This window comes from Homo sapiens, chromosome 19 (genome assembly GCF_000001405.40).
Source record: "Homo sapiens chromosome 19, GRCh38.p14 Primary Assembly".
Lineage (NCBI taxonomy): Eukaryota > Metazoa > Chordata > Mammalia > Primates > Hominidae > Homo > Homo sapiens.
In genome coordinates, this window is record NC_000019.10 from 46,574,599 (window position 1) to 46,592,120 (window position 17,522).

General features: G+C 42.7%; 1 pseudogene across 2 annotated transcripts in view, besides 1 other annotated feature; it reads right to left on the reverse strand.

Annotated features, from left to right (window-relative positions):
- The window catches only part of PPP5D1P (PPP5 tetratricopeptide repeat domain containing 1, pseudogene), an 82,238-nt pseudogene that overhangs the window by 55,920 nt on the left and 8,796 nt on the right, over nt 1–17,522 (reverse strand). The window lies entirely within an intron of this gene.
- Nucleotides 3,180–3,380: a silencer, noted in NCBI's record as "peak3525 fragment used in MPRA reporter construct". NCBI's record gives its function as "represses an SCP1 promoter by STARR-seq MPRAs in K562 erythroleukemia cells {active_cell/tissue: K562}" and the evidence as "EXISTENCE:reporter gene assay evidence [ECO:0000049][PMID:32103011]".

Sequence of the window (17,522 nt, forward strand, 5' to 3'; positions counted from 1 at the left end):
CTCCTTCTGGAGGCTCTAGGGCAGGAATCCCCAACCCCCACGCCACACACTGTGATGTGGTTTGGCTCTGTGTCTCCACCCAAATCTCATGTCAAATTGTAATCTCCACATGCCTGGGGGAGGGACCTGGTGGGAGGTAATTGGATCATGGGCGCGGTTTCCCCCACGCTGTTCTCATGATAGTGAATGAGTTATCATGAGATCTGATGGTTTAAAAGTGTGTGACAGGCCGGGCTCAGGGGCTCACGTCCATAATCCCAGCACTTTGGGAGGCCGAGGCAGGCAGATCACCCGAGGACAGGAGTTCAACACCAGCCTGGCCAACGTGGTGAACCCCTGTCTCTACTAAAATACAAAAATTAGCCAGGCATGGTAGCTGGCGCCTGTAATCCCAGCTATTCAGAAGGCTGAGGCAGGAGAATTGCTTGAACACAGGAGGTAAGGTTGCAATGAGCTGAGATCGTGCCACTGCACTCCAGCCTGGGTGACAGAGCCAGACTCCTCAAAAAAAAAAAAAAGTACATATATATATATATATATATATATATATATATATATATATATGATATTATATATGAGATACATATTTTATATATATGATATATATGATATTGGGAGGCCAGGCACAGTGGCTCATGCCTGTAATCCCAGCACTTTGGGAGACTGAGGCAGGTGAATCACCTGAGGTCAGAAGTTCGAGATCAGCCTGGCCAACATGGCGAAATCCTGTCTCTACTAAAAATTCAAAAACGTAGTTAGGTGTGGTGGTGTGTGCCTGTAACCCCCACTACTTGGAAGGCTGAGGGTACAAGAATTGCTTGAACCCAGGAAGCGGAGGTTGGAGTGAGCCAAGATCACACCACTGCACTCCACCCTGGCAACAAAATGAGACCCTTTTTCTTTGAAAATAACTTAGAAATTAGCTATGCAAAGTGGTGCAGGCCTGTAGTCCCAGCTACTTGGGAGGCTGAACAAGAGGATGGCTTGAGCCCAGAAATTCGAGGCTGCGGTGACCTGGGATCACACTACAGCCTGGGTGAGGGTGAGACCCCATCCCTTTAAAAAAAAAAAAGAAAGAAAGAAAGAAATTAAAAACAGCCAGGTGCAGTGGCTCACACCTGTAATTTCAACAGGTTGGAAAGCAGAGGCAGAACCACATGATGGGACCTTGTCTCTACAAAAAATTAAAAAAAAAAAAAAAAAGATTGGGTGGCTTAAACAACAGACATTTATTTTTTCACAGTTCTGGAGGCTGGGGAGTCCAAGATGAAGGTGCCAGCAGATTCAGTTGTTGGTGAGGCCTTGCTTCCTGACTTGCAAGCAGACGCCTTTTTGCTGTGCCTTCCCATGGCCTTTCCCCAGTGTGTGCACGTGGAGAACGTGAGCTCTGGTTTCTCTTCCTCTTGTTTTTTTTCTTTCTTTCTTTTTGAGATGGAGTCTTGCTCCATAGCCCAGGCTGAAGTGCAGTGGCGTGATCTCGGCTCACTGCAACCTCTGCCTCCAGGGTTCAAGCGATTCTCCTGCCTCAGCCTCCCAAGTAGCTGGGATTACAGGCACCCGCCACCATGCCTGGTTAATTTTTTTGTATTTAGTAGAGATGGGCTTTCACCAGGCTGGCCAGGCTGGCCAGGCTGGTCTCAAACTCCTGGGCTCAAGTGATCCACCTGCCTCAGCCTCCCAAATGTTGGGATTACAGGGTGAGCCACCACTCCCAGCCTCTCTTCCTCTTCCTATAAGGGTACTAATCCTATCATGGGGGTCCCAGCCTCCTGACCTGATCTAAATCTAATTACCTCCAAAGTTCCCTGCCTCCAAATAATATCACACTGATGGTTTTGGCTTCAAGATATGAATTCAGAGAGGACACAAACATTCAGTCTACAACACTCAAGCAAGCAGAAAATGGTAAGAATAATATGATTTCTCTTTTTCAGTCCATTGTCTGTGTGCGAGATATTCATGATCATACACATTATGTTCATATACATGATCTCACTTACCATGATCCTGACGTAGTAAGTTATCTATCGCTGTGTAACAAATCAGCCCAAGATTTACTGGTTGATGTGGTTTGGCTCTGTGTTCCCACCGAAATCTCATCTCAAATTGTAATCCCCACCTGTTAAGGGAAGGAGGTAATTGGATCATGGGGATGGTTTCCCCATGCTGTTCTCATGACAGTGAGATCTAATGTTTTTTGTTTTGTTTTTTTTTGAGACGGAGTCTCGCTCTGTCACCCAGGCTGGAGTGCAGTGGTGCGATCTCGGCTCACTGCAACCTGCGCCTCCCGAGTTCGTGCCATTCTCCTGCCTCAGCCTCCCGAGTAACTGGGACTACAAGCGTCCGCCACCACACCCGGCTAATTTTTTTTGTACTTTTAGTAGAGACGGGGTTTCACCGTGTTAACCAGGATGGTCTCGATCTCCTGACCTCGTGATCCGTCCACCTTGGCCTCCCAAAGAGCTGGGATTACAGGCTTGAGCCACCGCACCCGGCCAGATCTAATGGTTTAATAAGTGTTTGACAGTTCCTCCTTCACATGACCTCTCATTTCCTGCCATACAAGACATCCCTACTTCCCCTTCCGGCATTATTGTCTGTTTCCTGAGGCCTCCTTAGCCATGCAGAACTGTGAATCAATTAAACCTCTTTTCTTTATAAATTACCCAGTCTTAGGCAGTTATTTATAGCAGTGTGAAAACAGACAAATACACTGGTATAAAACAACAATGGGCCAGGCGTGGTGGCTCATGCTTGTAATCCCAGCACTTTGGGAGGCTGAGGCAGGCAGATCACTTGAGGTCAGGAGTTGGAGACCAGCCTGGCCAACATGATGAAACCCCGTCTCTACTAAAAATACAAAAATTAGCCAGGCTTGGTGGCGCACCCCTGGAATCCCAGCTACTTGGGAGGCTGAGGTGGGAGAATCGCTTAAACCAGAGAGGCAGAGATTGCCGTGAGCCAAGATCATGCCACTGCACTCCAGCCTGGGTGACAGGCTGAGACTCTATCTCAAAAATCATCATCATCATCATTATCATCATCATTTGTTATCTCTTGCAGTGCCTAGGAGTCAGGAATTCAGGAGCAGCCCAGCTAGGGAGTGGCAGCTCTAGGTCTCTAATAAGTTTGCAGTCAGATAGTGGCTGGGTGTGGGATCATTTTAAAGCTTTCCTAAATTACATATCTGGTACCAAAGGCTCCTTGGCTCCCTTCTCTCTCCATAGGGTCTCTCCACCATGGTGACTCAGAGCTCCCAAGGCACAAATCCCAAGACAGAGAGACCCAGGGAGTGGCTGTGTCACCTTTTCTAATCTAGCCTCGGAAATCACTTATCATCTGTTCATGAGAAGCAAGTCAATAGGGCTGCCCGTATTCTAGAGGACAAGAACTGGAATCCACCTTTTTATTTTTTCAATTTTTAAATATTTTTTTTAGGCAGGGCGTGGTGGCTTACGCCTGTAATCCCAGCACTTTGGGAGTCCGAGGCGGGCGGATCACGAGGTCAGGAGATCGAGACCATCCTGGCTGACACGGTGAAACCCCGTCTCTACTAAAAATACAAAAAATTAGCCGGGCGTGGTGGCGGGCGCCTATAGTCCCAGCTACTCGGGAAGCTGAGGCAGGAGAATGGCGAGAACCCGGGAGGCGGAGCTTGCAGTGAGCCGAGATAACGCCACTGCACTCCAGCCTGGGCGACAGAGTGAGACTCTATCTCAAAAAAAAAAAAAAAAAAAAAAAAAAAAATATATATATATATATATATATGTATTTTTAAAATATATATTTATTTAATATATATTTAATATTTTATATATATATATATTTTTTTAATAGAGACAGGGTCTTGCTCTGTTGCCCAGGCTGGTCTCCTGGGCTCAAACAATGCTCCCACCTCAGCCTCCCAAAGTGCTGGGATTACAGGTGTGAACCACCATGCCTGGCCAGAATCCATCTTTGTATAAGAGGAATTTAAATAAATTGTAGACACTTATTAAAACTACCACAGTAGGTACTTTTTTATGCCCATTTTACAGACAAGAAAACCGAGGCACAGGGAAGCTAAGTAACTTGCCTAATGTCACATAACTTGGGCTTCACGCATGGTGGCTCACACCTGTAACCCAATATTTTGAGAGTCAGAGGCAGAGGGATTGCCTCCAAGAGGCAGAGGCAGCAGGATTGTACCACCAAGACCAGCTAAGGAGGCAGGAGGATTACTTGAGCCTAGAAGTTCGAGACCCGCCTCAGCAACATAGTGAGACCTTGTCTCTACAAAAAAATGCTTTTAAAAATTAGCCAGGCATGGTGGTGCAGGCCTTTGATCCCAGCTACTCGGTAGGTTGAGGCAGGAGAATCGCTTGAGACCAGGAGGTCAAGGCTGCAGTGAGCCATGTACATGCCACTGCACTTCGGCCTAGGCGACAGAGGAAAACCCTATCTTAAAAACATAAGTAAATTCATTTAAAAATTAAATAAAATGCAAGTCTCCAACCATTAACAAAGGGAGTGTCAAAAAGTCATGGAAAAAAGGGTTTTTTAAAAAACAATTTAAGGAACATAAAGATAACGTTTAAAATGTAAAATAGAAGTGAATATATTTTTTCCCTGCAACTACACTGAAAGAGATACTGTTTTGCATAATAAAACTGTCTAAAGAATCTGTCCTGATAACGTAATTGAAAATATTCCCAAGAACGCCTGTCTTGTTTTGCTGTGCGGTCAGGAGCCCTGAGTTCCTGTCACCACCTGGTCTGTTCATTTAAGACGGTCCTTGGAAAGATAATTGGAACAAAAGAGGCTTGTGAGATTCTCCTAGAAATTGTTGCCAATCTTGAGAAAAATAATCTCCCAGAGAAGCCTGCAATTCTGATTGGTTTTCTTCCTGATCATCTGTTGCCATGGTGACAGCCATCATCTCTCTATTATTAAAAGGAAGAAATGACTGTAGGTTTTCTCTCTCTAAACCAGAAGACGATCGTTGGCACTTTTCTCCCACAAACATAATGGAAATAAAAGCCTGTGACTCTGCTAGATTTTTTCAAAAAAACAAAGACATTGAGAGTCCTGTCTCATTTAAATGAATCAAAGCACTCATCCCCACGCACAGATAGACATAAATGGTGGTAGCTGTGGGCATCGCGGTTGTGGTCGGCTGTCATCTTCACTTCATCAGAGCGCCCACTGGTGGGTAATGAGAGAACAGCAGGGCTATCCCAGCTAGGAGACCCCCTTCCCTCCCTTCCTCTCTGGAGGGTTCACCACCCCAAATAGCCAGGCTTGCAGTGGAGGGCAGAACTAGGGACAGAAATCCCTGGATATTCTACCAAGGATGGGAGGATGGCCCCTCCTGCTCTCAGCCCCCGTCATGGTCTCCTATTGTGTACCAGACATTGTTCTATCCCCTCTACATTCTCCATGCTCACTACAACCCCTTAAGTGGGGAATTATGACTGCCCTACCTACAGATGAGGATTCCAAAACCAGAGAGGTTTAGTCTCCTGCCCAAGGTCACACATAAACTGGAGGACCTATGAGTTATTCAAACCCAGGTCTCTCTGACAGTAGGCAGAGAACTTCAGCGTAGAGGGAATGTGGCGGGACTCAAAAGGCTCCCAATCCACCCTCAAGAGAGACTTTTCAGGACTGATTGGGTTTATCAGCAAGAGGCATCCAACATCCAGCTATCTAATAATCAGGGTGATTCATGGCTAACAGTTATTGAGCTCTCATCAAGTGCTATGTTCTGGGCTAAGTACTTTGGATGTATAATCCCACTAAATCCTCCTGACAAATTTTGGGAGAAAAATTACGATTGTGCCCATTTCACAGAAGAGAAGACTGAGGTTCAGAGAGGCCCATTATATTGCCCCAGGTCACACAGCTGGGAAGTATTGGAGCCAGGTTTGTAAACTCGTGTTTGCCTGGCTCCAAAGCTTCTACTCTTCTCCAGTAGACTATTTAGAAAGACCAGCTTTGGATATGGGTGTGGGCCTGACTCAATGCAGTAAGTGCTTTCTGGGCCCAAGTAAAGGCCCTGCCATTTTCCGATTTGCTGTTTCGTTTTTTGTATTAGTTATTTATGGCTGTATAACAAATCACCCCAAGATCCAGCAATCCCACAACTCAATATACATACAGAGGAAATGAAATCAGTATGTCAAAGAGATCTCCGTATTCCCTTGTTCATTACAGCACTACTCACAATAGCCAAGATATGGAATGAACCTAAGTTGCCATCAACAGATGAATGGATAAAGAAAATGTGGTACATAGACACAATGGAGTACTATTCTGCCTTAAAAAGAAGGAAATTTTGTTCCTGGCAACAACATAGACAAATCTGGAGGATACTGTAAGTGAAATAACCCAGAAATAAGCCAGCCAAATAAGCCAAAGAAAAACAAATACCACATGATCTCACTCGCATGGAGATTGTAAAAAAGTTAAAGTAAATAGGGAGTAGAAAGGTAATGGTTATAGGTGGTGGAGGGTTGAGGAGATGTTGGTCTAAGGGCACAGATTTTTAATTAGATAGGAGGAATAAGTTCAAGAGATCTATTGTATAATATGGCCACTATGGTTAATTACAACTATAATTATTCTATAATTATCTAATTATACTATAATATTCAAGAATGTATTTTACTCTTGAAAATTGCTAAGAGAATAAAAAATCACCCCCAAACCTGGCAACTTAAAAGAACAACAATTATTTATTTTACTCACAAATCTGCAGTTTAGAGGTTTGTCAGGGACAGTTCTCTGCTCTGCAAGGTGTTAGCTGAATAGCATCAGAATCTGCTTTGAAGAAGACAACTACTTTCCTAGCTATTTTCTGGGAAGTGTGAGCTTGGGACCTCATTCCTATTCATATGATCCTTTCCTCTGGCTCCTTGAACTTCCTCACAACATGGTGGCTGGATTCCAAGAGCAAGCATTCTAAGAGAACAAGGCATGTCTTTTTTTTTTTTTTTTTTTTTGAGACAGGGTCTCCCTTTGTTGCCCAGACTAGTCTTGAACTCCTGGGCTCACACAATCCGCCCACCTCAGCCTCCCAAAGTGCTGGAATTACAGACATGAGCCACCATGCCTGGCCTATGCATAGCATTTGTATGATCCAGCTTTGGAAGTCATATCATCGCTTCCACTTTATTAGTCAAGGCAGTAGGGACTGCTCAAGCTCAAGGGAAGAGACATAGACCCCATCTCTTGATTCTAGAAGCATGTGGAATAGGAGATATTATTGTCGCTATCTGTAGAAAGTAAAATCTGACATACTCTCAAAGGCAGTGTAGGGTAGACTGGAATATCCCACTTGGTCCCTCGTTGCCCACTCTCTGGGAAAAGGGGGATGTTTTACTGCAGAGGATGGGAGGGTGAAGACCCAGCAAGGTCTTGGCCTTGGAGCTCTAAGAATCCAAGAATCTAATAATAGTTTTAGGGACAAGAGGGTCACTTGGAGAGAAGGTGTCTCTTTGGGGGATATTTAAGGATCCATGGGCTGGACCTGCCTTTTATTAAATAACTACTAAAGATCTCTAGATAACTCATGGCTAGCTCTGGAAGAAGATCCTAGACATAGCACGAAGGTCAAGATCCTAGACATTGGGGCCAGGTAGGCCACCGTCCCAGTTCCAGCTATCTATGTATTCCTTGGTCACTATCTATGTATTCCTTGTCTGCTGCAGCCTCAGTTTCCTCATTTGTAAAATTGGTATAAAAATAATATATAGTACAGGACCGGGCACGGTGGCTCACGCCTGTAATCCCAGCACTTAGGGAGGCCGAGGCAGGCAGATCTTGAGGTCAGGAGATCAAGACCATCCTGGCGAACACTGTGAAAACCCATCTCTACTAAAAATACAAAAAAAATTAGCCGGGCGCGGTGGCAGGCACCTGTAGTCCCAGCTACTCAGGAGGCTGAGGCAAAAGAATGGCATGAACCCGGGAGGCAGAGCTTGCAGTGAGCAGAGATGGCGCCACGGCACTCCAGCCTGGGCAACAGAGCGAGACTCCATCTCAAAAAATAATAATAATAATAAGTAGTAGTAGTAGAGGTTAGGTGAAGCCTGAGACCTGGTGGTGTATGAGCCAGAGCAGAATCCAGAGTAAAACCCAGTATTGTTGTTGCCTCAGGCCCTCTGTGGCCAGCATCTATCTCCATCTGTGCCATCAGTGCCTGCCCCTATAGGGGCACTAGCTGTTCCAACCGGGTCACCCTGGCTGAATTGAAGATAACTTATAAAAAGCCACATCTTGGCTGGGCGCGGTGGCTCACGCCTGTAATCCCAACACTTTGGGAAGCTGAGGCAGGTGGATTACCTGAGGTCAGGAGTTCAAGATGAGCCTGGGCAACATGGTGAAACCCCGCCTCTACTAAAAATACAAAAATTAGCTGGGCATGGTGGCACACACCTGTAATCCCCACGTACTTGGGAGGCTGAGGCAGGAGAATTGCTTGAACTCAGGAGGTGGAAGTTGCAGCCAGCCAAGATCGCGCCACTGCACTCCAGCCTGGGCGACAGGGTAAGACTCCATGTAAAAAAAAAAACAAAGAGCCACAACTTTAAAGTTGTGGAAATTGGATGCCATTAACATTGTCAACAAAAGTTTTTGAAATACCAGCCGGGCGCAGTGGCTCACACCTGTAATCCCAGCATTTTGAGAGGCTGAGGAAGGTGGATCACCTGAGGTCAGGAGTTTGACACCAGCCTGGCCAACATGGCAAAACTCCATCCCTGCAAAAAATACAAAAATTAGCAGGGCATGGTGGCATGCACCTGTAGTCCCAGCTACTCAGGAGGCTGAGGCAGGAGAATCGCTTGAACCCAGGAGGCAGAGGTTGCAGTGAGCTGACACCATTGTACTCCAGTCCGGGCGACAGAGCAAGACTCTGTCAAAAAAATAAAATTGAAATATCTAAGAATAAGGCCAGGTGCAGTAGCTCATGCCTATAATCCCAGCACTATGGGAGGCCAAGATAGGAGGATTGCTTGAGGCCAGGAGTTCGAGGCTGCAGTGAGCTGCGATTGCACCATTGCACTCCAGCCTGGATAACAGAACAAGATCCTGTCTCTAAAAAATAAAAAGAAAAGTTTAAAAAAAAGTTTTTTAAGTGAAAGACAAATCAGATCAATGAAAATGAACACATGATATACAAAAACATATGGGATACACTAAAGTAGTGCTTGGAGGAAAATTTACAGCTGCAAATTGCCTATATTGAAAGAGAAAAATGGTCTCAAATCAATAACCTAATCTTCCATCTTAAGAAACTAGAAAAAGAAGTGCAAACTAAACCCAAAGCAAGCAGAAGGCAGGAAATAATAAAGATTAGAAAGGAAGTAAATGAAACAGAGAAAAGAAAAACAAGAGAAAATCGACCAAACCAAGTTTGGTTCTTTGAAAAGATCTACAAAATTGACAAATCTTTAACTAGACTAACCAAGGGAAAAAAGAAAAGTCTAAAATTATTAAAGTCAAGAATGAAGGAGGAGACATCACTACTGACCTTACACAAATACAAAGGCTTATAAGGGAATACCATGAATAAGTGCGTGCCAACATATTAGATAGTCTAGGTAAAATGGTCAAATTCCTAGAAAGACACAAACTATCAAAACTGACTGAAAAATATAGAAAATCTGAGTACACCTATAACAAGAGATTGAAATGGTAATTTTAAAAGTTTTCACAAAGAAAAGTCCACAATCAGATGGTTTCACTGGTGAATTCTACCAAATATTCAAAGAAGAATCAACACAAATCCCTCACGAATGTTTTTGAAACATAGAACAAGAGAGAACACTTCCTACCTCATTCCATGAGGTCAATATTACCCTGATACCAAAATCAAACACATCGTAAAAAAAGAAAACCAAAAAGAGACCAATATCCTTTATAAATATAGATAAAAACATTCTCCACCAGGCGCAGAGAATCAAACCTGTAATCCCAGCACTTTGGGAGGCCAAGGTGGACGGATCACCTGAGGTCAGGAGTTCAAGACCAGCCTGGCCAACATGGCAAAACCCCGTCTCTACTAAAAATACAAAAATTAGCCAGGCGTGGTGGCGTATGCCTGTAGTCCCACGTACTTGGGACGCTGAGGCAAGAGAATTGCTTGAACCCAGGGGTTGGAGGTTGCAATGAGCCAAGATCATGCCACTGCACTCCAGCCTGGGCAACAGAGAGATAATCCATCTCAAAAAAAAAAAAAATTCTCAACAAAATACTACGAAACTGATTCCAGAAACATATAAAAAGGATTATATGCCATGACCAAGTGAGATTTATTTTAGGAATGCAAGACATGAAAATTCATCAGTGTAATAAACCATATTAACAAACTAAAGAACAAGAAGTACATGATCATCTCTGCAGGTGAAAAAAAAGCATTTTACAAAAAATCCAACATTCTTTCATGATAAAAAATTAAAACTCAATAAACTAGGAATAGAATGAAATTTCCTCAACCTAATAAAGGGCATTTATGAAAAACCTACAGCTGACATTATACTTAATTATGAAAGACTGAAACCTTTCCCCTAAGATCAGGCACATGATCAGATGTCTACTCTTATTGTGTCTATTTAACATTGTACTGGGAGTTCTAGCCAGGACAGTCAGGCAAGGAAAAAAAAAAAAAAAAAGCATCCAGGCAGACGTGGTGGCTCATGCCTGTAATCCCAACACAATGGGAGGCCGAAACAGCCGGATCACTTGAGGTCATGAGTTTGAGACCAGCCTGGCCAAGATGGCAAAACCCTGTCTGTACTAAAAATACAAAAATTAGCTGGGCGTGATGGTGCATGCTTGTAGTCCCAGCTACTTGGGAGGCTGAGGCAGGAGAATTGCTTGAACTGGGAGATGGAGGTTGCAGTGAGCTGAGATCATGCCACTGCATGCACTCCAGCCTGGGCGACAGAGCAAGACTCTGTCTCAAAAAAAAAAAAAAAAAAATTCAGACTATAAAGGAAGAAGGAAAACTCTATTTGCAGGTGACATAATCTTACACATAGGAAAGTCTTAAGGAATCTACACACACACACACACAACTACTAGAGCTAATTAACAATTTTAGCAATTTTTCAGAATACAAGATCAATATCTAAAAATCAGTTGTATTTCTGTATACATCAGCAATTAACAGTCTGAAAATAAAATTAAGAAAACAATTCCATTCGTAATAGCATCAAAAAGAATAAAAGGCTTAGGTATGAACTTAAGAAGACTTTGTAAGAATTTTACACTATAATGCACAAAACCAACATCAAAATAAATGTTAACAGACATAGATAAGTGGAGAGACACTCTGTGTTTATGAATTGGAAGATTTAATATTGTTTAGATGGCAATATTCCCCAAATAGAACTGCAGATTCAACACAATCCACATCAAAATTACAGCTGCCTTTTTTGTAGAAATTGACAAGCTGATTTTAAAATTTATATGAAAATGCAAGGAATCCAGAATAGCCAAAATAATCTTGAAAAGGAACAAAGTCAGAGGACCTACACTTCCCAATTTTAAAACTTACTACTAAGCTGAGTAATCAAGATTTTTGGTACTTACATAAACACAGAGGAATGAGAGTCTATTTTAAAAACTCATATGTCTATAGTCAACTGATTTTCAACAAGGGTGCCAAAAAAATCAATGAAGAAATTCAATGCCTTTTCAACAAATGGTGCTGGCACAATTATATATCCACAGGTAAAAACAGGAAGTTGGACCCCTGCCTCACACCACATATACAACTTAACTTGAAATGGATCAGAGGCCTAAATGTTAAGAGTTAAACCTGGAAAACTCTCAGAAAACATAGATGTATAGTCGTGCGTTGCTTAACAATGGGGATACATTCTGAGATATGTATCGTTAGGTGATTTCATCATTGTGCAAACATCATGGAGTGTACTTATCCAAACCTAAATGGTAGAGCCTACTGAATACGTGGGCTAGAGGATAAAACCTATTGCTACTAGGCTACAAACCTGTACAGCATGTTACTTTACTGAATATTGTAAGCAATGGAAACACAATGGGTATTTGCATACCTAAACATAGAAAAGGTATAGTAAAAATACAGTATTATAATCTTATAGACCACCATCATGTATGTGGTCCATCACTGACCAAAATGTCATTATATGGTGCACGACTGTATATCTTTGTAACCTTAGATATGACATCATGGCTTCTTAGATATTACATCACAAGTACATGCAATAAAAAAATACATACAAATTAGACCTCATCAAATTTTAAATTTTGTGCTTCAAAAGACACTATTAATGAAGTGAAAAGAAAACCTACAGGATGGGAGATTTGCAAATCATCTGATACAATCTGATAAGTAGTGTCTAGACTCCAGAATATATAAAGAGCACTTACAATTCAACAGCAAGAAGACAAATAACTCAATTTTAAAATGGGCAAAAGATCTAAGTAGACATTTCTCCAAAGAAGATATATAAATGGCCAAGGAGCACATAAATATATACCTAACATCATTAGTCATTAAAGAAACTAAATGGATGAGCCAGGCACGGTGGCTCACACCTGTAATCCCAGCACTTTGGGAGGCCAAGGCAGGCAGATCACCTGAGGTCGGGAGTTCAAGACCAGTCTGACCAACATGGAGAAAACCTGTCTCTACTAAAAATACAAAATTAGCCAGGCGTGGTGGCAGGCACCTGTAGTCCCAACTACTCAGGAGGCTGAGGCAGTAGAAACGGTTGAACCCGGGAGGTGGAGGTTGCCATGAGCCAAGATCGCGCCATCGCACTCCAGTCTGGGCAACAAGAGTAAAGCTCCGTCTCAAAAAAAAGAAATTAAATGGATGGATTAAAATGGTGGCCACTACCCAAGTCAAATGAAATCTTCCCCCTCCATGGTCCCTGGACAAGGGAATGTTACTCTTACAAATCTTCTGTTGACAATACATTTTGATTGTTTGGGTTTTTTGTTTGTTGACAAATAATTGCATATATTCATGGGAAACATAGTGATATTTCAATAAAGAAAATGTATGATGATCAGAGCAGGGTAATTTCATGTCCTTTGTGAAAGGAAAATAAATCTCCTCCAGAAATCACTAAGCCAAAGGGAAAAGTCAAGATGGGACATCCATCAGGCAAACATGCCTCCTGTTTTATTCCTAAATAAGATAACTACAAAAATTTAAAAAGCTACACAGTTCCCTCAAAATATGTCAGAAAGGAAATTTCTTGTGAGCCTCAAGATCTTTATCCTGAAACAGTTCTGTTGAATTTCACCCTGGCAATGTAAATTGATAACTGATACCTTATCTTCACAGATGGGGGACAAAGGACAGACAGAACCCAACGCCATCCCTCTTCTCACCTGAGACAAATGCATATCTGATGGCTTCCTCTGCCCAGTTGTTTATGTAAAAATGCAGATTCACTAAGCGAGACTCAGGCATAAGTGACTACTCCTCTATGGCGTCTCACATATAAATTGTGTATTCAGTGAAAGACTTATCAGAGACTCAAAAGAATGCAACTGTTGGTCTCTTATCTATCTGTGACCTGGAAGCACCCCACCCCCCAACCCTGGTAGGTGCATCAAGTTGTCCCATCTTTCCAGACAGAACCAATATACATCTTACATATATTGAGTGGTGTCCATGTCTCCTTAAAATGTATAAAGTGAAGCTGTGCCCCAACCGCCTTGGGCACATGTCATCAGGACCTCCTGAGGCTGTGTCACAGGAGTGTCCTTAACCTTGGCAAGATAAACTTTCTAAATTGATTGCAACCTGTCTCAGATACTTTTGGATCACACCTCTAACAAGCCTCCCCCTATCCCTTCCCACCCTCTAGTATCCTACATTTTTGAGTGGTAGAAGTTCCAAGCTAGGAGGAATTGGTCTTAAAGATAGTCTAACAACATTCTCAAATTTTAGGATGTTTCCAAGTCATCTGGAGGGCTTGTCAAAACACATATTTCTGGAGCCCAATCCCAGAGTTTCTGATTTAGTAAGTCTGGGGTGGGGCCCAGAAATTGGATTTTCTCAAAAGTTTACAGTTGATGCTGATGCAGCTGGTGTAACCCTTTCCTTCTACACATATGAAAGCTGGCTCCAACAGAGATGGTGTGAATGGTGCAGCTAGTTGTACAAAGTGCTGTCCAGTAAGAACCTTCTGTGATGATGTACATGCTCTTCTGTCCTCCCCAACACCGTAGCCACATGTGGTTACTGAGCACTTAAAACGTGGCTAGTGCAACTGAGACTTCATATTTTTAATGCAATTAATCTTAATGAATTTTAATTCATATGATCGCATATCATACTTACTAGAGTAAGTACCATGTTGGACACCACATTTCTACAAGTGAGGTCTCCTGACTCCCAAGCCAGTAAACTTTCTAATACACAGTACTGCCTTCTGTTTTCAAGCCACTAAGGATGTATGCAAGAGGAGAATCTCTAGGTCTTAGTAAACCTACATGCTCAACTTGCCAATAGACATTGTCAAATGGTTGTCTGTGGCTGAGACCATGGTATACACTCACCAAATTCTGTTTCCAGTTCCTTCTTCAAAGGCACATGAGAAAATATATTTCTCCATCCACTTGCAGTGAGATGAGACCACACGACTGGTTCTGGACAAGGAAATATAAGCTGAAGTGACATATGTCACTTCTAGACCGAGGCAATGAAAACCTCCTGAGAGATTTTCTTTTTTTTGTTGTTTTTTTTCTTTTTTGAGACGGAGTCTTGCTCTGTCGCCCAGGCTGGAGTGCAGTGACACAATATCGGTTCATTGCAAGCTCCGCCTCCCGGGTTCATGCCATTCTCCTTCCTCAGCCTCCTGAGTAGCTGGGACCACAGGCACCCGCCACCACGCCCGGTTAATTTTTTTTTCTTTTTTGTATTTTTAGTAGAGATGGGGTTTCACCATGTTAGTCAGGATGGTCTCGATCTACTGACCTCGTGATCCGCCCGCCTCGGCCTCCCAAAGTGCTGAGATTATAGGCGTGAGCCACCGCGCCCAGCCTGAGAGATTTTCTCATCTCTCTCTCCCCAGCTCTGGCAGCATAGAGGCCTTTAGGAGAGATGAAAGATGCTAGGTTACAGGGTTAACACATGGAGCTGGCCTGAAGAGTAGCTGGGATTTACAGTGGACTTTGTGTGAATGAGAGATAAACTTTAATTGTGCTAACTGAGATTTTTGAAGTTATTTGTTACTGCACTGTGACCTAGTCTATCCTAAATTATACACTCGCTGGCATGATTGTATCAATACTCCCATCAGCATTTTATGAGAATTTCCATCTCCCCATACTTATTTATTTATTCGAAAAATAGTTATTGGCCAGGTGTGGTGGCTCACACCTGTAATCCCAGCACTTTGGGAGGCCAAGGCGGCTGGATCACCTGAGGTCAGGAGTTCGAGACCAACCTGGCCAACATGATGAAAACCCATCTCTACTAAAAATACAAAAAATTAGCCAGGCATGGTTGCGGATGCCTGTAATCCCAGTTACTCAGGAGGCTGAGGCAGGAGAATCCCTTGAACCCGGGAGGCGGAGGTTGCAATGGGCAGAGAGCATGCCATTGCACTCCAGCCTGGGAGATAGAGAGAGACTCCATCTCAAACAAAAATAAAGTTATTGATAGCTGGGCCTGGTGGCATGCACCTGTAGTCCCAGCTACTTGGGAGGCTGAAGTGGGAGGATTGCTTGGGCCTGGGAGGCAGAGGTTGCAATGAGCCAAGATTGCACCAACTGCATTCCAGCCTGGGCAACATAGCAAGACACTGACTCAAAAAAACATAGTTATTGAGCACCTACTATGTTCCTGGGTCTATTTTAGGCACTGGAGATACAACAGCAAACAAAATAGACAGAAAATTGTGACCTCATGGAACTTATATTCCAGTGAAAGAATCAAACAATAAATATAATGAAAAAGAAGATAATATTATATTTTATTTTAGCAGGTGGGCACTGCTATGAAAAACATTAAAGCCAGGTAAAGGGAATTGAGAGCATTGGGTTGCAATTTTTTTTTCTTTTTTAAATTTTATTTCTTTATTGATACATAACAGATATACATATTTTCAGGGAACATGCGGTAACTTAATAAATTTATATAATTTGTAAAGACCAAATCAGGGGGCCAGGTGTGGTGGCTCATGCCTGTAATCCCAACACTTTGGGAAGCCGAGGTGGGTGGATCACAAGGTCAGAAGTTCAAGACCAGCCTGGCCAAGATGATGAAACCCTGTCTCTGCTAAACATACAAAAATTAGGCTGGCATGGTGGTGGGCACCTGTAATCCCAGCTACTCGGGAGGCTGAGGTAGAAAATTGCTTGAACACGGGAGGCGGCAGTTGCAGTGAGCTGAGATTGCACCACTGTACTCCAGCCTGGGCGACAGAGCAAGACTCTGTCTAAAAAAAAAAAAAAAAAAAAAAAAAAGATCAAATCAGGGTAATTAGGATATTCATCACCTTAAATATTCATCTTTATGCTAAAAACATGAAGTCTTCTTCTATTATTCTAATTTTGAAATGTACAACAGATTATTGTAAACTATACTCACCCTACTGATCTATCAAACACCAGATCTTATTTCTTCCATCTTACATTTCTTCCAAATGTAGCTATACATTTGTACCCATTAGTCAATTTCTCTTCATTTCCCCCCTCCACCCTACCCTTCCTGGCTACTGGTAGGAATCACCTATCTGCTCTCTATCTTCATGAGATCCACTTTTTCAGCACCCACACATGAATGAAAACATACGATATTTGTCTTTCTGTGCTTGGCTTATTTCACTTAACATGATGCTGCAAATGTCAGAATTTCATTCTTTTTTATGGCTGAATAATATTCCATTGTGTACATATAGCACATTTTTTCTTTTTTTTTTTCTTTTGAGACAGCGTCTCTCTCTGTCACCCAGGCTGGAGTGCAGTAGCGCAATCTCAGCTCCCTGTAACCTCTGCCTCCAGGGTTCAAGCAATTCTCGTGCCTCAGCCTCCCTAGTAGTTGGAATTACAGGCATGAGCCACCACCGGTTAATTTTTGTATTTTTAGTAGAGATGGGGTTTCACCATGTTGTGCAGGCTGGTCTTGAACTGACCTCAAGTGATCCACCTCCCAAAGTGCTGAGATTACAGGCGTGAGCCACCTCACTCAACCATATACCACATTTTCTTTATGCATTCGCTCTTTGATGGGCACTTAGATTGACTCCATTATCTTGGTTATTGCAGCAAACAGTGCTGCAATAAACATGTGAATGCAAAGAGCATTTCTCCAGTGTTTTCCTCTGGTAGTTTCATAGTTTCAGATCTTAGATTTGAGTCTTTAATAGATTTTTGTTTAATTCTTGGATACAGTGACTTCCTTCCTTTTGGGTGTATTCATAGCATGGGATTGCTGGATCATATGGTAGTTCTATTTATAATTTTTTGAGGAACCTCCATACTGTTCTCCAGAGTGGCTGTACTAATTTACATTCCCACCAACAGTGTAT